This window comes from Homo sapiens, chromosome 10 (assembly GCF_000001405.40).
Source record: "Homo sapiens chromosome 10, GRCh38.p14 Primary Assembly".
Classification (NCBI taxonomy): Eukaryota; Metazoa; Chordata; class Mammalia; order Primates; family Hominidae; genus Homo; species Homo sapiens.
The window spans coordinates 122,087,984-122,107,873 of NC_000010.11; the positions used below are offsets into that span (position 1 = coordinate 122,087,984).

General features: G+C 46.9%; 1 protein-coding gene across 48 annotated transcripts in view; it reads left to right on the forward strand.

Annotated features, from left to right (window-relative positions):
- TACC2 (transforming acidic coiled-coil containing protein 2) overlaps positions 1 to 19,890 on the forward strand; it is a 265,380-nt gene that overhangs the window by 98,821 nt on the left and 146,669 nt on the right. For 43 of the 48 annotated variants that reach the window (NM_206862.4, NM_001438366.1, NM_001291876.2 and 40 more), the window contains one exon: positions 495 to 608. The exons of 4 other annotated variants lie outside the window; for them this stretch is intronic. In NM_206862.4, coding sequence (NP_996744.4) covers positions 495 to 608 — 114 coding nt within the window. Of the gene's footprint in view, positions 1 to 494; positions 756 to 19,890 lie in introns of all 48 variants that reach the window. One more of the 48 variants, NM_001291877.2, reaches the window with a different exon arrangement.

Genomic DNA, 19,890 nt, shown 5'->3' on the forward strand with positions numbered 1-19,890 from the left:
GGGAATGTGTGGTCAGTTTCAAAGGTGATTCCCAGCCTGATTTTTAGAAGTCAGTCGCATAGGTGAGTGGTTTTCTAAAAGCTGAGTTTTCCATATCTAATTGCTAAATGAACCTGCTTACCCCCTCTGGATGTCCTGAGGCTCTGAAAAATGTGAGAACCATGGTTGGAGGCTGGGAGCTGTTGACTATGTTCTTTTTCTTGTGTTCCTTAATTCATCTAACTTAAACCACTGGAAAAGTATCAACTGTTTACTGGCTGGCTGTGTACTATTAAGTGATAGGTTATAGTCAGTCATATATTTTTCTGGAGTCCAGATACATCTGCTTTTGAATCTGGATTTATTTAGTCAGGGGGCCCTTTTTCCTAGGGATTTTTTTTTTTGTAGTAGCCACTTAAAACTTTAATTGAGAAATCTGCTTTTTCAATAGGACATGAGGAGAAATGCCTTACTATCTACATTATCCTATTAATTGCTTTCTTTTATTATCCCAGAGAGAGCCCCAGGCCTGGCCCATCCATGTTACCTTCGGTTCCTAAGAAGGATGCTCCAAGAGTCATGGATAAAGTCACTTCAGATGAGACCAGAGGTGCGGAAGGAACAGAAAGGTCAGCGAAAGATATTGGTCTTTGGAAGGCCATGATGCCTTCCTTAGATACAGACACACTGGATGTTTTGGAAAGGAGAGTAGTCCTTATACAGCATGAGTTCCTACATAAGAAAGAAGCAAATGGCCATTCCCGTTTTATGTACAGGTACAGCAGTACCTGGGATGACTAAAAGCTCCATTGTTGGAAAAGGGATTGAATGAGTTGCTTTCATACTTGAGTTTATTACCTTAAATTTAAAAAGTCAGTCTGGGTGCGGTGGCTCATGCCTGTAATCCCAACACTTTGGGAGGTCGAGGCAGGAAGATCACTTGAGCCCAGGAGTTTGAGACCAGCCACATGGTGAAACCCCATCTTTAGAAAAAATACAAAGATTAGCCGGGCACAGTGGCACGTGTCTGTAGTCCCAGTTACTTGGAAGTCTGAGTTGGGAGGATCGATCGTTTGAGCCCAGGAGGTGAAGGTTGCAGTGAGCCGTGTTTGTGCCACTGCACTCCACCCTGGGTGACAGAGACCCTGTCTCAAAAAAAGAAAAGAATCTTTATTGAGATGCAATTCATATACCACATAATTCACTCATACAATTCAGTGGCTTGTAGTATATTCACAGTGTGTAACCATGGCTACAATCAATTTCAGGTTATTTTCATCCCCACAGAAAGAAACCCTACAGCCCCTAGATATCATACCCCAGCCCCCACACCCGCCGCATCATCTCTAGGCACCCATTCATCTAGTTCATTACATCTTGATGCAAATGGGTTCAATGCTGATTTAGTCTCCGAAGCAGGAATGGCTCACCAACAGCGGTCACACTCCAGGAGATCTCGAGATTCAAGGAGGGTAAATGTAACCACGAACAGTGACCTTCACACTTGCAGTGTGCCTGCCTGTTCTTTTCTACATGAAATGCCACCTAGTGTTATGCAGAAGCTGCTGCTCAAGGTTTCATCCTTTTGGGGAAATGGTGATATTGTGCACGTACACAGACACACAGTGAACAAGCTTTCCGCCTCCCTAGGCCTTTGGCTGTTCTGGTGCTGTGTGTGCACACATATACATGCATACAACACTTGTGTGTATGAGTAGGGTGGAATCAGACTTTAAATTAGTACCTGTGTACCCTACCAAACAGCTGCAGGCATTTTATAAATGATCTGATTCATATTTTGCACATTCAGAAAGAATGCACGATCACCTGTTTTTCGAGTCTGAACACTTCCACTGACACCCAGCTGCCTCTGCCGCCTGGCAGTAGTGACTCCCATAGCTCTGAGCCAATGTGGATGTGGGCATGTGCTGGCCAAACAGATGCAAGTTTAATCTGCATTGGACACCCTTTTTTGCTACTGACTTAGGATACAATTTCCTGCAGCCTTTGCTGTTATGTATTTTTTATATTCCCAGTTAAGGGGCAGGAGAAATATCTGTCTAGCTTGGAAAAGTCTTCCCCACCCCAAAAATGACCATATCAGTGCCTTCTTTTTCAGAGTCCTTAAACATGTTAGCACCTTCTTGGAGAAGGCAGGGCCAGATGTATAGTAGTACAATAAATATTTCATGACTTGTTGTTTTAATCACTTTAAATTGTAAAATTAAAATTTATAAATTAGTATTATAAATTATAGTTTTTTCCAGAATACTTGTGAGGTATGGAAAAGTAGATACAGAAGGGGCAGGTGTGGTGGCTCACACCTGTAATCCCAGCACTTTGGGAGACCGAGGCAGGCAGATCACAAGGTCAGGAGATCGAGACCATCCTGGCTAACACGGTGAAACCCCGTCTGTACTAAAAAATACAAAAAATTAGCTGGGTGTGGTGGCGGGCGCCTGTAGTCCCAGCTACTCGGGAGGCTGAGGCAGGAGAATGGCGTGAACCCGGGAGGTGGAGCTTGCAGTGAGCCGAGATTGCGCCACTGCACTCCAGCCTGGGTGACAGAGTGAGACTCTATCTCAAAAAAAAAAAAAAAAGAAAAAAAAAAAAGAAAGAAAAGTAGACAGAGAAAAATTCACAACCACAATACCTACCAATTATTATTGCGTATTTTAGTATATTTTCATTTTAGCAGATTTTTAGTGCCATCAAAGCACTCTTTAGTGTTTTTAGTGCTGTCAAAACTCTTTAAAAACAAATCCTTAAAAAATTATTTATTTATTCATGTATTTATTTATTTTTAGACAGGGTCTCACTCTGTCACCCAGGCTGGACTGCAGTGGCACAATCTCTGCTCAATGCAGCCTCGACCACCCCAGGATCCTCCCACTTCAGCCTCCCTAGTAGCTGGGACTACAGGTGTGCACCACCATGCTCAGCTTATTTTTAATTTTTTGTAGAGATGGGGTTTCACCATGGTGCTCAGCCTAGTCTTGAACTCTGGGCTCAAGCAATCTTCCTGCTTCTGCCTCCCAAAGTGCTGTGATTACAGGCATGAGCCACCATACTCAGCCTACAAACAGATCTTCATGGCTGAAATTGCATGACTGATTATGGTTTTAACAGCAATGGAAATTTAGGTTCTGATGGTGTTCCTATTCACTTTGCTCCTGCTGAGACTTTTGTACTCTCTAGAGCTGCTCGGTCTAGCATAGCAGCCCCTGGCTACGTGTGGATGGAGATGTGCTGTAAGTGTAAAATACACACCCAATGTTGAAAATTTAGTATGAAAAAAAAAGAAAATACATCACTAGTCATTTTGAATATAATGTTAATTATATGCAAAATAATAATATTTTGGATCTATTGGGTTAAAATGTATTACTAAAATCAACTTCACTTATTTCTTTTTTCTGTTTTTTCAATGTGGCTCCCTAAATTTAAAAAATGACATATGTGGCTTTTGAATACCTGGGTCACATTCTATTTGGATCACTTGCCCCTAGAAGCTGCTTTTCCCTGGTCTTTGAAGGAAATGGGGTCATAAAGAGTTGGCCTTCCCTGTGCTTTAGGCTCTTGGGGAAAAGGCTTCCTAACATTGGTTGAGGGTTTCTGGAAAAAATTCGGATTGGACTCTCTCATCCAGCCTGGCAGGTTGGGAATGCTTCTTTCTCTTGAGGCAGAGGCTCTGAACTTCTTGCTTGTGAACCCATCCACCATGAGGAAGCCGTGCACGTGGACCTGGGCTGGTCTCGGAGGAAGTCCTGCCAGGCCAGGGGCTGTACTTCCTAGGAGGGGCAGGTGTTGCCTTTGAAGGTGAAAATCAGCAGCGGTCTTGGGGAGGCTGGGTGACCAGACTTCGGTGAACACTGCCAGGAGCTGTGGTGGCGATGAATTTCAGGGACAGGTCTCTGAATTCACACCCCAGCTCTGCTCCTTACTAATTACATACCTAACCTCAGTTTGTTCATCTGTAGAATGGGGATGACACCAATTGTACCTGCCTCAAAGAATTGCCATGAGGGTTAAATGAGATCCTTGATTCAAGCGCTGGAGCGTGCCCATTCTGGTGCCCAGTGGGTGTTAGATTCCCTGTTGTTTTGTGATGGGCATTTCTGGTGCAGTGACCTGCACGATTATATCTCTCTTCAGGGTGGAGATGGTTTTGGGATCTCAGTCTGTTCTCCTGAGGTTGAAACTTCAACCTGGCTGTCTTTCTTTTCCAGCGTTGAATTCTTTCTCTGCTAAAATATTTCAATGGCTGAGGAGAGTGAATTCTTTTTTACCCCCTACTGCACAGCCCAGAGTGATCTGCTACAAGTTAAAAATTTTGAGATTGTGTTTCACTGTAACACTTTGAGTATCTTTGTGTACCATATTATATTGTATTTCACCATCAAAACACTGTTTCAAGTTACCTCCAGAAGAGCAAAGCAAAGCAAAACCAAGTTTTCTATTATCTTGCTAGTTATCAGGTGACATGCTTCTGTGGATTGAATTTTGAAGATTCTGCCAATTTGAATAGGGCTGATATCACATATAAGATTCAATATCTAAGAAATGTGTCTTTTTCTATTTTGATGACAGGATAGTTTGATAACCCATCTCATACACATGTACATGAAGGTAGCATAAATTTGTTTACTGCTTTATTGTCCATCTTATGAAGTCAAATTGGCATTGCTAATGGATGTGGCATGGATATCCTGTGGCTTTGCCTACCTCCAGCCACACCTCACACCCATGGGGGTCTGTGTGTCCCCCACTCTGAGAAACAGGCACTCTTCTCACTCTGAGAAGCAGGAACTCACAATGCATAGAAATGTATAGAATGAAATGTACAGAGAGTGGCTGTGCATTTCTGTACATTGTATGATCCTCCCTGTGGAAGAGCCTGGGACTCAGAGACAGCCTCATGTTAGTTTCAGGTTGTTCTGCAGAAGGTGCTTGAATCAATTTCACCTACGTACATATACAACTATCTTCCCTGTTAGTGGAAGGTCTAGAATTTGGCATTTTGGTTACATAGCACTAATGTTCAGATGTGTCGTTCTGGATTAATCTTGGATATCACCAAGCTTGTCGTTGCTGAATATGTGTTTAAAAGGAGTCGTTCTCTCTTTGTCTCTCTCTTTTTTTTTTTTTTCCATTTAGGGAAATGGTTGGAAAGGTATTTTCAAGTATTAGTGGATTTTAAGAGGATCAAATTGTTCCCAGATGCTTAGGGTCTTTGTGTAAACCTAGGCTGAATGGGGAAGGGCAATTGGATTGAAAAGTGGAGGGAGGGAGGACAGAGAGGACAGCTGGCCTCCCATTAAGGAAGCCCTGGCTGGACCTGAAAGCCTCACTGGAGCCGCTTCTCTCTTGTCCTCCCATGCCTCCTTCCCATTTGGTCTCTGTTTCTTCCTTTTCCCTCCACTCCGTTCTAAAATTACCAGCTGTGACACCATGTTTTCAAGTTTAAGAATAAGCTTTTAGAGGATGGCTACAACTGTATAAATTAAGGAAAAGAGAAAACAACATTGAAGCATGGTTCTCTTAGCAGATAAAGCCAGGACAACAGACCTCACCCCCGATTTTATATGACATAGGAAATCGACACTTGGTAATGTCACTTACAGCAATACTCTTCTCAGATGGGAGGCAGTTAAGTTAGACAGATGCATTCACATCTCATTGGCCTCTTATTGGCTTCGTTACCTTGGATAAGCTGCTTAACTTTTCCATCCTCAGTTTCTCTCTCTATAAAATGGGAAGATAACATCTCTCTTTTAGGATTGGGGTTAGGATAAAATTGGAATGTTTCCAAAGCTCCTGGGATAATGCCTGGTATATGGTAAATGTATGATTACAATGGTAACTACTCTTGTAATTTGAAATGTATTTCTTCGAAACCATCCTGGAAATTAAGCAAAAGGAGGCAATGCCCAAGATCTCCAAATGAAATGGTAACAGACCCTGCAGGAATCTGTAGACGCAGAAACTGGATGAGCGTCTGTCTCCAGCCCTTCCACGTCTCTGAGCCTGTTTCTGTCTGTCAAGCTGGGGGCTCCACGAACCCTGCTTGGCCCACAAGGAGCTCCTTATGTGAAATGAGATCACAGAATCAAAAGTACTTAGGAAACTAAAGCCTTTACAAATTGTGTTCTTATCAATAGCTTCAGTCACTATAAACAATCATATACCAAAGTCAAGGAGCCTTTGGAAATGCAGCCTTTATGTGTTTCATAAGTAAAATGAAGCATCTGTGTTTCATAAGTAAAATGAATTTCCTGAGAGGTGAATCTGTCATTTGGAAAAGCTTCAAGTATCTTTATTTATTTATTTTAGAGATAAGGTCTTGTTTTGTCTCTTAGGATGGAGTGACTTGGTGAGATTATAGCTCACTCTAACCTCCAATTCCTGGGGTCAAGCAACTCTCCAGCCTCCGTGCCTCCCAAGTAGCTGAGACTGCAGGTGCGCGCCACTACACCTAGCTAATTTTCAACTTTTTTGTAGAGATGGCGTCTCACTATGTTGTCCAGGCTGGTCTCGAACTCCCAGCCTCAAACAATCCTCCCACCTTGGCCTCCTAAAGCACTGGGATTATTATAGGCATGAGCCACCATGCCCGACCCTCTAAATCCCTTTGAAAGTGGGTTCATGAAGCATCTGCACAAAGGGCGGCTGCCTCCTTGGTGGCAGGGGCTGGATTCACTGTCTTCAGGTGGCTGGGACAGGCATGCCACCACCTTGGCTTCTGGCTCTCCAGAGCTTGGGAGCCTCTCTGCCGCTTGTCCCCTGTTCATGCTGCACTTGAACCCACAGCATGGAAGAGCCGCTCACTGCCACTTCAAAGTCAAGGGCCAGTTTCATTCAGATCAAGGTGATGATTTCCCAAATTGAATGTCTCCAAGCTGACTTGCTCCTCTCTGAGAACTTCTCATTATGGCCACCGGTAGAAGCCACTGTGTTTGACCTGGGTTTGGGTTTTGTTTCAGCAGCAATGTTTGAGAGATGAATATTTTACACTCTAGCTGGTGAGAGCTGCAAGGAAATGTGGGGGCATTCTTATTGAGCTCCCCCCCACCACTTTATGGAGGAGGAAACTGAGTCTCAGAATGGGGACAGGACTAGGGGGCTAACTAGCTGCAGAGACAGACCTGGGTTTTGGCCCCTGATGGCAAGTTTCCCCCCAGATGCCTGTGCTGAACTGGGGACCCTCCTTAGGAGGGGGATGGGGATCTTCCTTTCACCAATGCCAGCCACCCCAATTCTGCTTCTAGGCTTTTGAGAAAAGACCATATGATTCTGAGGTCTAGGGTGTGACAAGCACAGGCCTCAAGAGTTGACAGGGCTCAGGTTCTAGCTCTGTGATCCTGGGGCCATCGCCTTGCGGGGCATTTGACTCACCCGTAAAATGGAGCAAATAGTACTCCCTTACAGCGCTGTTAAAATTAAATGAGCCACTTTATTGAGAGCACCTGCCACAAGTGCTCTGTATAAGTTCCTTTCATTTATTCCCCACTCTGGGCCAATGTACTTCCACACTGCAGCATCGTGGTTCTTTCTCACCTCAACCTGTAGGTGGGTGCTGTTTGTGTACCCCTTTTCCAGATGAGGAAATGGAGGCTCCCAATGGTGACATGGCTTGGTCAAGGTCAAAAAGCTAATAAGAGTTGGAACTAGAACTAGAACCTCAAGGCTTTTCAGACATCAGATCTACGTTCAGAACGCTGATCATTCTCTTACTAGCCAGGTGGAGTCCTGGGGAGGCGCCCTGTTCCCTACAGCAACGCTGTCCACCGACGGTTCTTCAGTGGTGGGAATGTCCTGTGTCTCCACTCTCCAATACAGTCGCTGCTGGCCACAGGCTGCTAGCGAGCACTTGAAATGAGGCTGGTGCCACTAAGGAACCAAATTGTTAATTTTGTTTAATTTCAACTAATTGAAATTTATAGTGAAATACCCACATGGGGCTGTGGCTTCCACACAGGACAACCCAACTGGAAGCCACTGTGTCTTTGCATTACGTCAGAGGCTAATCCTTGCCATCAGAGCCAGTGGGTGTGGTGAGGCTCTGTGTGTGAGGCCCTGGACATTTCTCAAGCACCTGCTGGTGCTCGGTGAGTATTAGGCGCCCCTTCCTCCCGCTGGCTGGCTCTGTAAGTGGGGAGACCAAGTGGTTGTGTCTCTAGAATGGAGGCTGAGGTGTGTTCGTGGCACATCTGCCCAGTAATGCGGATCAGCAGGAGGTGTCTTTCCTGCACCCAAGGAGGCCTCCCATTGCACCTGGGGGCTTGGCTTCACCTATGTGACCTCACATCCAGGCCTGCGCACCCGTATCTGAGCTGGCATTGTAAGAAGCCCTGGATGGCCCCATGAACTGGCTCCTGACAGCAGCGCTTGTGGCAAACCCTCCCTGCCCACAAACCCCCCGGTGGCCACACCTACAAGAGTGCCCCTTACCGGCCAGGCGCGGTGGCTCACGCCTATAATCCCAGCACTTTGGGAGGCCGAGGCTGGTGGATCATCTGAGGTCAGGAGCTCAAGACCAGCCTGACCAACATGGTAAAACCCTGTCTCTACTAAAAATACAAAATTCGCTGGGCAGGGTGGTGCATGCCTATAATCCCAGCTACACAGGAGGCTGAGGTGGGAGAATCACCTGAACCCAGGAGGCAGAGGTTGCAGTGAACTGAGATCGCGCCATTGCACTCCAGCCTGGGCGACAGAGCAAAACTCCGTCTCAAAAAAAAAAAAAAAAAGACTGCCCCTCACCAGACTGGGAGGGAGCCCAAATGGGCAGACATGTGGTTTTTCCACTGATGTCTCTGCACTGTTCTTGTCCCGAAAACCTGGCAGGATGAGGAACAGGCCCCAGCTTACAGCATCTCAGCCCCTTCTTTCTTCTCTGCTTTCTTAATGCCTGTTAGTCCAGTGTTAAATATTTTAGCAGCCTGATGACTCAGATGTAGACTGTGAAAGTGTTTCTTTTTCCAGGGAAGGCACTGGAACAGGTCTAGTTACTGATGCTCTTAATGCCCTTTCCTTTTGCAAGCCTGGCCGAGGGTGTTTAGGAATAAAAACTTGCCTGGTTGCTGGGCACGGTGGCTCATGCCTATAATCTCAGCACTTTGAGAGGCTGAGGTGGGAGGATTGCTTGAGCCCAGGAGTTAGAGACCAGCTTGGGCAACATAGTGAGACTCCATCTCTACAAAAAGAAAAAGAAAAATTAGCGTGGTGTGGTGGTACATGCCTGTGGTCCCAGCTATTCAGGAGGCTGAGGTGGGAGGATCGCTTGAGCCCAGGAGGTCGAGGCTGCAGTGAGCCAAGGTCATACCACTGTACTCCTGGGTACAGCCTGGGTGACAGAGTGAGGTACTGTCTCAAAGAAAAGGAGGAAGAAGAAAAAGAAGAAGAGTTGGAGGAGGAGAAGGAGGAGAAAAGAAGAAAGAAGAAGAAACTCAGGGGAAGGGAGTCTATGTCCCGAGAGAGGGCAGGGTGCGCCTAGCAAGGACCCCAATGCACAGTGGATTTGGGTCAGCACTCAGTTTTCAGGCCAGGAGTACACTCGGTGGGAGAAGAGCGGGGCTCTGAAGTGGCCCCAGGGGACGGGGAGGGCCCTGGGAGTAGGAGGGAGGAGAAATGAGGCTGAGGATGAGATCAAGCTGGAGGCTAGGGTTGGTAGGCGGCCGGAGTTTAAATCCTGGCTCCCACTGGAGGGGTGATGCTGGGTGCTATTAGGACTGCCCCAAGCCTCAGCTTCTTTGCAGGTAAATGGGGCTGACAATGTCTCCTGGGGGTAAAGGAGGGTTACAGTGGGGAGAAGATGAGATGAGACACGGCACACCCGACACAAAGTCAGCTTGCAGTGGAGACTTCGTGGACAAGGTCCCTGAGCTGCAGGGGGGCTTCTGGGCAACTCCATCCCCACAGCCAGCTCAGCAGCCACCCAGCAAATGTGCACCCAAGCCAGGCACTTGGAAGGAGAAGCCGAGGGCTCTCTCACCGGGGAAGAGCTGAGATGGGCTTTCAGGACACGCTGGGTACACGCTCCTCTGCTAGAAAGAGGTTTGGGGTAAATGGTTAGGTGGGTAGGTAGGTAGGTTGATGTGGGGCAGGTGAGTGACAGATGTGGTTTGTTGACTCCCAGCCCAGGGCCCAGCACACACGTGAGGAGTCAGCTGTTCACGGGCTCCTGTCTGCTCGCTATGTACCCTGTAGGATCAGGAAGTTGGACATCATGATCCTAGGTTGTCTTTCTAGAAATGTTTGCATGGATATGTTTGTGGCCATTTTGATAGAGAGCTGGTCTTGGCCTCTGGCTAAGAGAATAAGCTATGATCTTGTTTCTTGGAGAATGTTAGATTTGCAGGGCATGGCTCTTGGTTACCCAGCACCTGATACCTTGCATGAGGCACCTTAGGCGCTGCATACGTGTTTGCTACATAATTCAACACAACTAGCTATCAGGTGAGTCTGAGGGTTCCTGTCCTGAAAAACGAGGTCAGACAGCACTTTGGAGGCAGGTGGCTGCGTCTAACTCACGGCTCTGCTATTAGACTCTTTACCCTCGAGCAAGTTCCTTAGCCACCCTAAGTTTCTTGCCTGAAAGATGTGTATAATGCTAGGGTCCACCACAGAGAGTTATGTAAAAAATAACGTGTGAAAAGCTTAGCAAAGTGCCCACCTGGCATGCAGTAAGCACTGAGGTACCAGAGGTTACTGTTTTTATTGCTACTATCATTAATATTACCATCATCACTTAAATGATGATAAGACTATTCTTAAGGTAGATTAATGGTAGGTACCTGTGTTTTTACACACGGGCTCATAGAGTTCACGTACATCTGGCCTGGATTTGTTGGAATGTGCCACTACCCTCTAATGCTTCTTCTCGTCCTGTAGCCTCAGCCTCCCAATGGGGGTGGCTCTCCGTGTTGCAATATTGTATAGGATGCGAAGTGGAGCCATCTGGCACCCGTGGGGAATGCATTCCCTTCCTTGTGGAATCTAGGGCTTTGGGGTTAACCTCTTGCCAGGAGCGGCTGCAGAGAGGCTGCAAGCTAACATTAGTGGGTGGGAGTACGCCTGTGTGGTGAGCCTGGCTGTGCTGAGCACATCTCATGGGACAAACCGCCTCGACAATTTTGGCATGATATTTTGAGCTGTGAGCCCATTCCAAACCCCTAGAGGAAAGGGCAGGGTGAAAAGTCATCTGGCCCTGCCTGCCAGACGCCATAACATAATAGCTGGAGGAGTAGACTGTTCCTGGCAAGTGACGAAGCAGCTGGTATTGAAACATACACATGGCCAGAGTTGGCAGACTGAGAATTTGGAGCAGAGTGTGAGTGCCGAGCCTGGGCTTAAGTCTCAACCCCAGACCAGACTGCCTTTCCAGGCCACCTATGAAGGATGGCTGGGCAGATGCTCCTCTGGCACCTGAGGCTGGGTAGCAGCGAAGCTCACCTTTGAGATGAGGTACCACCTCATGCCTGGCTTGGGCATTCATAGTCATTCATAGTCTCCTTCTGACACACTCAGCTGGAAGGAGATAAAACTCCAGTTTCAGCAGAACGTTCTCCTGTTGAACTCTAATCTGAGTCTGTCCTCCCCAGCAGCATCCACATACTTCCCAAATTGTGGTGAATTAAAGAAGCTGCAAGCACTGGCCCAACTGGCTTTTGCTGGTGGTTTTTCGGCAACCCTCCTGCAAATGCTGTCAGCCAAGCAAAGGAAAGCCAGGGCCACAAAGCACAGAGGCTACAGCTTAACTCAGCTTAACTCTGTTTCTTTACAAGTGGGCTATAAATTTGTGGGAGATAAAACGACTTAATGATCACTGCAGGGTTTAGTTTTGTTTTTTCAAGAAGATGGGAAGCTTATGTGTTAGGAACTACCAGGCTTCTGTTGAAGTGTTGTGTATACCTCTCATTTAGTTCATATTTTATCTTCAATGGAGAGGATTCTGTAAAAATGGAATGTAGAAAATTGCCTCTCCTGGGGTGACACTTTTGCTTTCAGAAACTCTTTGGGGCTGGGCACAGTGGCTGACGCCTGTAATCCCAGCACTTTGGGAGGCCAAGGCAGGAGGATCACCTGAGGTCAGGAGTTTGAGACCAGCCTGGCCAACAAGGCGAAACTCCGTCTCTACTAAAAATACAAAATTAGCCAAGCGTGGTGGCGTGCGCCTGTAGTCCCTGCTGCTCGGGAGGCTGAGACAGGAGAATCGTTTGAACTTGGGAGGCGGAGCTTGCAGTGAGCCGAGATCGTGCCATTGCACTCCAGCCTGGGCAACAGAGCGAGACTCTGTCTCAAAAAAAAAAAAAAAGAAACTCTCTTTGCATTCTGCATTTGGGGACTGTGACTGAGTCTAAGAGGAAAGCTGTAACTCTTCCCTGCTCCTTTCTGAGAAGGAAAGGTCCTGAAAAGCCACTGGCTCTAAGGTCTAACAAAGGCCATTTTGTGTCTTCTCTTCCTTTTTTTTTTTTTTTGAGATGGAGTCTTGCTGTGTTGGCCAGGCTGGAGTGCAGTGGCCCGATCTTAGCTCACTGCAACCTCCACCTCCTGGGTTCAAGCAGCTCTCCTGCCTCATCCTCCCAAGTGTCTGGGATTACAGGCACGCACCACCACACCTGACTAACTGTTTTGTATTGTTAGTACAGACGGGGTTTCACCATGTGGGCCAGGCTGGTTTCGAACTCCTGACCTCAAGTGATCTGCCCGCCTCAGCCTCCCAAAGTGCTGGGATTACAGGCATGAGCTATAGCGCCCGACTGTTGTCTTCTCTTCTTAACCCCTTTTCCTTTGGTATAAAAATGTGGAGAAAGGTGTAAGTGCAGAAGCAGGCCCAGACTGTAAAGACATAAGAGGCAGGAACTCCAGTGTGGCTGAGAGATGTTGGCCAGACCCATGTGCCCATGTCTCTGGGTGACCCCTCTGCCTGCCTTGCCCCTCCCTCTACTTGTAGCCTGTGATGGGACCACATTCTGGTTCAAGAGGCTCAGACAAACGTTGTTCTGTGAAGCCTTCCCGACCCTTCCACTCCCCAGGAGTACCCCTACCTCCCACCAGAGTAGCGAGGTTCCTTTCTGTAGCCTGACAATAATTTTAAGACAGGGGCAAGTGTATTACAGTTTGGTGAATCAGATTTTCTCATTTGCAGAAGAGATTGGGTGTTTTGAGCTGGACAGATCTGGGTTCAAATCTGCTGCTTATTCATTGTAGGACATTTGTCATATTAGTCTCATGAGGTCTCAGTTTCCTCACCTGCAAAATGAGTATAAAATTAATACTTACCTCATGAGGATTCAGTGAAATAGTGCACTGGAAATGCTTGACCAGAGCTGGCACATGTATCACCCAAGGAACATCTATCACTATTGGAAGGAGTCCCCTGCAATGGCAGGGACTGTGCCTGGTCCCCAGTCCTTAGCACAGTGGGCTGCACATAGTAGCCCCTCAACAAATGTTTGTAGAATGATTGTGTTTAGCTGGGCAGGGTGGCTCACACCTATAATCCAGCACTTTGGGAGGCCAAGGCTGGAGGATCACTTGAGTTCAGGAGTTCGAGACCAGCCTGGGCAACATGGCAAAACCCCATCTTTTTTTTTTTTTTTTTTTTTTTTTTGAGACAGAATCTTGCTCTGTCGCCCAGGCTGGAGTGCAGTGGTGTGATCTCGGCTCACTGCAAGCTCCGCCTCCTGGGTTCATGCCATTCTCCTGCCTCAGGCTCCCAAGTAGCTGGGACTACAGGTGCCTGCCACCATGCCCAGCTTTTTTTTTTTTTTTTTTTTTTGTATTTTTAGTAGAGATGGAGTTTCACCGTGTTAGCCAGGATGGTCTCGATCTCCTGACCTTGTGATCTGCCTGCCTTGGCCTCCCGAAGTGCTGGGATTACAGGCGTGAGCTACCACACCCAGCCAACCCCATCCTTTTTTTAAAAAAAAGAAAAAAGAAAAAGGCAGAGTCTCAGGTGCTTACCCGAGGCCTGCTGAGTTGGAATCTTTACAGTCATGCATTGCTTAATGATGGGGAGCTGCTCTGTGAAATGCATTGTTGGGCGATTTCATCATTGTGCAAACATCATAAAGTGTGCTTACGCAGACCTAGACGGTATTGCCTACTACAAGGTACTGTGTGACGCTTCACCCGTCGGTTTGGGCAGTTTATGGGCCACCCTTTAAGTAGCAAGGGGTCTGGGGCACTCTTCTCAACATTGGCTGCACACTGAAAACTCCCACAGAGCTTAAAAAAAATATTGATGCCTAGATGCCACCCCCAGAGCTTCCGGTTTAATGGATATGCGGGTGTAGCCTGGGGGTAGTACATTTTCAAAGTTCGCCAGGTATTTCTACACAACACGGAACAGCTGGCCTAAGGCCTGCAGAAGCAGATCAAACCAACTCGGCTCTCAGATGCTTCTTTGTTGCAGCATAAGACATCTACATCATCAAGCCCACTGCATAGGCTGAACTGAACCCCGTAACCGCGCCTCACTCCTGGCCCTGCCAAACCCTCACACTACTGCGGCTGATCCATCAAATAGTTTATTTTTCACCTTTGCCCTGATGTCACTTGGACATCTGACTGTCTCCTAGAGAAAGTTGTTTTTCTGCCAGAGAAGGTACAGCAGGCAGGGCATTGCTTCCTATTTAGTCGAAGGCTTATTTTAAATTGGGACTAGGCCAAGTTCAAGTGCAGGAGCACACTGGCCCCTGGGAGAGCCTGGCCAGGTACATTTGGCTTGTGAGACCAGCCGTCAGCACTTTGGCTCATGGAACACACGTCTGTCCGAGCAGTGCAGACCTGGCTTGTGTGAACTGGGCTCTGTGTGCCCTCAGGGAAAATGCCGAGGCCACATCTAGAAATTCTGGCTGAGGCTGAGAGCCGTGTGCAGAGCTGCCCCCACACATTTCCTTGTGTATATTTTGGGTTCAGGCTGACATTTCCTCTTAGCATGGGTGGAGGTAATGGCTGAATTTTTAGGAGGCTTGAATCCCTTCTACAAATATGCCTCCTCGCCCTGTAACCAAGTTTTGCTGGGTTGCAGTTCAGGAATGTATCTTGCTGCTTGTACAGCCCATCATGGAATGTGAGGACTTAGCTCAGAAGACTAAAGCACTATTCCTTCTAGGAAAAAGAAAAAAAAAGAAAGAAAGAAGGAAAGTTCCTCAGAGTTCACCAGTGAAATGGATCTTATGAGTGTGAGGGCTGAATTCCTATGATATGGCTGGGTTCCTCATGTCATATTCCCCTCCTGACATGTCTAGAGTATATAAGAAATAACCCACAGTTTAGCTGTGGTCACTGTAGACTGGTTAGGAGTTTGAGTTCTGCACACACAGAGCCTATGTATGAACCGTGGCACTGCTCAGTGTGGCCTCCGGGTGAGTTCACCACTCAAAGCCTGCTTCCTCCATTGCCAGCTAAGGACAACAGCAGTACCTGCTGCATAGGCTCATTAAGAGAATTAAGGCAGAGAAGAGATGGGAGCCACTTAGCAGAGGGCCATCTTTGTGACCAGTGCTCACAAATGGTGCATAATATTATTGTGGTTATTTTAGAAAAGCTTTTAAATTACCTTTTTGGTGTTCTTTTACCAGTTATTAAGTGGGGGAGGCACACTGCAAGTTGGCATGTGGATGGCATTTTGCCACTCTTCAAAGCTGGCAGATGATGGGGTCATCTTCTAGGCCCCACATACCCTTTCAGTTTGAATTCTTGGTGTTTGAGTGAATCCCTGAGATACTGTCCTGTGGGAGAAGAAGAGCGTCATGGGGCAAGGTGGTCCTGAGCTGTAGAGCTGAGGGAGGCTGGCCTGGAGGCGGGGGTCTTGTCTTGCAGGAGAGAGGAAGGATGGAGGACGATGAGCACTGGACTGGGGTCAACCTAGTGGAGGCCCAGCCGACCAGCTGCCTGGTGAGCACTGCAGGAAGGCTTGGTTTCCTGACCTCATGGAGACCATGCTCTGTTTCAAGAGACAGTACACAGGCATTATAAGACTAAAACAGCTCATGGCCCTAAGTGACTTTGCCTCTATTTGGTATTTAATGAATATGGCCTTTTGTCCTTATCTAGAAGGCATTGTCTATGAAGGCAAGGATGTTGTCTTTTCACTGCTGTTTCTGCAGCTCCTAGAAGTACCTAACAAAATGTAGGTCTTAATAAATACTTGATGAATGACTTAATCATATACTTCCTTATTAGAAGGCATTGGAGAGTCAATTCTTACTGCCTAGAATATTCTCTCTCTCTTCTGGTCCATGTCCTCTTCTTTTTTCAGCTCAATGTTTCACCAGTGTCAATCATTCATGGGCCACATTCATGACATTTACCATCTCTGTACACTACTTGTGTTATTATCTACTTACTATCTTTCTATCTACTTACTTATTAAAAATGGCTTCATTTTTATTTTATGATTTTTTTTTTCTTTTGAGACGAAGTCTTGCTCTGTCACCCAGGCTGGAGTGCAGTGGTGCGATCTTGTCTCATTGCAACCTCCGCCTCCCAGGTTCAAGTGATTCTCCTGCCTCAACCTCCTGAGTAGCTGTGATTACAGGCGCTTGCCACCACGCCCAGCTAATTTTTTTGTATCTTTAGTAGAGACAGGGTTTCACCATATTGGCCCAGCTGGGCTCGAACTCCTGACTCCAACTGATCCTCCTGCCTTGGCCTCCCAAAGTGCCGGGATTACAGGAGTGAGCCACCAGGCTCAGCTTTCATTTTTTATTTCGTTGTGTTACTAGTCAATGTCTGTGAAGTTATGAGTTGGTGTGCTCATGGCATCTTTTTCCTAATATGTAAATGCATAACTATTGAAATACTCTAATCTGAGAAATCCTAACGTGGTAACACTGACTTATCCTCTAAAACTCAGCTTAACTATTCCCTCTTCTGGAACATCTCCCCTTACCTCTTCCAACGCTGGTTAAAATATTCCTTTCCCATCCCTGTCATGTGGTAGCCATCGTTATCTGATGATAGACGTAAGCATAAGAACCATGTTGCATCTCACTTTTTAACCCTAGTGCTTTGCACAGGGCCAGGATGTAGCAGCACTTGATAAGTGACTTTGAATAACTAGATGAAACTCCTTTAGTCTAGGGAAGTTCATGCTGTCTGGCATGCATGGGTGCCCCTAACAGGACGCTCCGTGATTCTGTGAAGATAGTGTGCTGTCACTCAGGGCGCCAGCATTCCGAAGCTTCTCTTTGGATGCCCATCAACAAATCAGATGTATGAACTTTGATTTAGACTCCCAGCTCCCAGCAAGGAACCAGTATGCTCTGTGTCTGGGGAGTGTTTGGCCTCTGACCTTCCGCATCACATATTGCCTGTCAGTTACCCAGCCAGCCTTGGATGCTTCCAGTCTCTGGCCTCATTTCCCAGGATTGATAAGGGATGAAATTGGGCATTGGCAGTCTGGGATGGAGGGGGAAGTGATCAGGGGAGAGGCCCTTGATCCAGTGGGGCAGAAGTGAGCCATTCGATGGAATGGAGGTTTCCTTCAGCCTCCTGAAGTTACTTTCCCTAATATACATCATAACCTCAGGTTCTTCCTGCTCTGAACTCTGACTGTACCTGGTGTCTGCTGGTGTTTTGGTTCCGTATTCCTGCTTCTTGCCTCTCCAGCATGTGCCTGTCTTTCCACGTAGCGTCCTGTCTTAAACACTTTTTTTTTTTTTGAGATGGAGTCTTGCTCTTCTCACCCAGGCTGGAGTGCAATGGCACAATCTCAGCTCACTGCAACCTCTGCTTCCCGGGTTCGAGCGATTTTCCTGCCCCAGCCTCCCAAGTAGCTGGGATTACAGGTGCCCACCACCACACCTGGCTAATTTTTTTTTATTTTTAGTAGAGATGGGGTTTCACCACGTTGGCCAGGTTGGTCTCGAACTCCTCACCTCAGGTGATCTGCCCGCCGCAGCCTCCCAAAGTGCTGGGATTACAGGCGTGAGCCACTGCGCCTGGCCTGTCATAAACATTTTCTCTCTCTGTGTGTGTGTGTGTGTGTGTGTGTGTATGTATATACATATACATTTTTTTTTTTTTTTTGAGATGGGGTCTCGCTCTTGTTGCCCAGGCTGGAGTACAGTGGTGTGATTTCGGCTCACTGCAGCCTCCGCCTCCTGGGTTCAAGCGATTCTCCTGCCTCAGCCTCCCCAGTGGCTGGGTTTACAGGCGTCCACCACCATGCCTGGCTAATTTTTGTATTTTTAGTAGAGACGGGGTTTTGCCATGTTCGCCAGGTTGGTCTCCAACTCCTGACCTCAGGTGATCTGCCTACCTCAGCCTCCCAAAGTGCTGGGATTACAGGTGTGAGCCACCGCGCCCGGCCCCTGTCTTAAACATTTTTATCCACTTACTGATTGATGAGCATTTGGGCTAATTTCACATTTTTTCAGTTCCATATGGGCACTCAGAGGGTGATTGCAGATGCTGGTGGGTATTTGAACCATTAATGGTTATTTCTGTGTCAGGCAAATTGAGCACAGGTTTCTAGCCTGGCTTCTCATTTCTATGTGGCTTTCCACTTCTCAGCAAAAGCAAAGTATTGTTGCTACAACATAATTTTAAAGGAAGCTGCAAATGCATAGCAAAGCATTATTTGGTGGACAGGGCCACAGTTACTTCCTAGGCACTGATTTGCCTTTTGTATTCTGCAGGACTCCTTTGGCAAATGATGATGTGCTTTGTGGTCTTTCATTCCTTTCTGAAGCCTTAGGTTTAGTATCTACCATATGAGTGCTTCTCAGCACCACAGTTGACAGCCCTTTGAAGATGCTTTTGGCTACAAGTAACAGACCACCCAATACAAGAAAGCTTCAACAATCATAGGTTTATCATTGCACCAGCAGGAAGTCCAAGGTTGTGTAATTCATTAGTTCAGCGACATCATTGAGGAAAGACCCAGGCCCTTTTCATTTTCCTCTCTACCCACATTCAGTGTGTGGCCAGATGCTCCCCTCATCGTTTCAAGCTGGCTGCAGCAGCTCCAGGCACTGCGCCCTCGCATGACAATGTCAAGAGGCAGGAAGACCCCTGATGGTCAGGAGCCATGCTGTCTTGTGTCTCTTCCAAAGAGTGAGAAAACTATCTCCAGAAGGCCTGCTGATTTTCTCTTCTGTTTCATTGGCCAAGGGTGTGTAACAGGACCATGCCTAACCCAATTATTTAAACAAAAGTAAGGAAACAAGGAGGAAGAACAGCAGTTTTGAAAGCAACCAATAATGCTGGCCATAAAACTTCGATTCAATTTCTCCAAGTGTGCTCTGAAAAGCATCTCCATCAGAATTATCTACAGGCTGGGTGCGGTGGCTCATGCTTCTAATCCCAGCACTTTGGGAGGCCGAGGCGCGTGGATCACTTGAGGTCACACGTCTAATCCCAGCACTTTGGGAGGCCGAGGCAGGTGGATCACTTGAGGTCAGGAGTTCGAGACCAGCCTGGCCAACATGGTGAAACCCCGTCTCTACTAAAAATACAAAAATTAGCCAGGTGTGGTGTCAGGTGCCTGTAATCCCAGCTACTTGGGAGGCTGAGAAAGGAGAATCGCTTGAACCTGGGAGGCGGAGGTTGCAGTGAGCCCAGATCACACTGTTGCACTCCACCCTGGGTGAGAAAATGAGAAGATTCTGTCTCAAACAAACAAAATAATAATAATAATTTTTTAAAAAAGAATTATTTAAAATATGCTTGCTAGAATGCACATTTCTTTTTTAAAACATATATATATATATATTTCAATAGGTTTTTGGGGAGCAGGTGGTGTTTGGTTACATGCATAAGTTCTTTAGTGGTGATTTCTGAGATTTTGGTGCCCCTGCCACCTAAGCAGTGTACACCGTACCCAGTGTGTAGTCTATATCCCTCACCCCCCTCCCACCCTTTCCCCCAAGACCCCAAAGTCCATTATATATATAT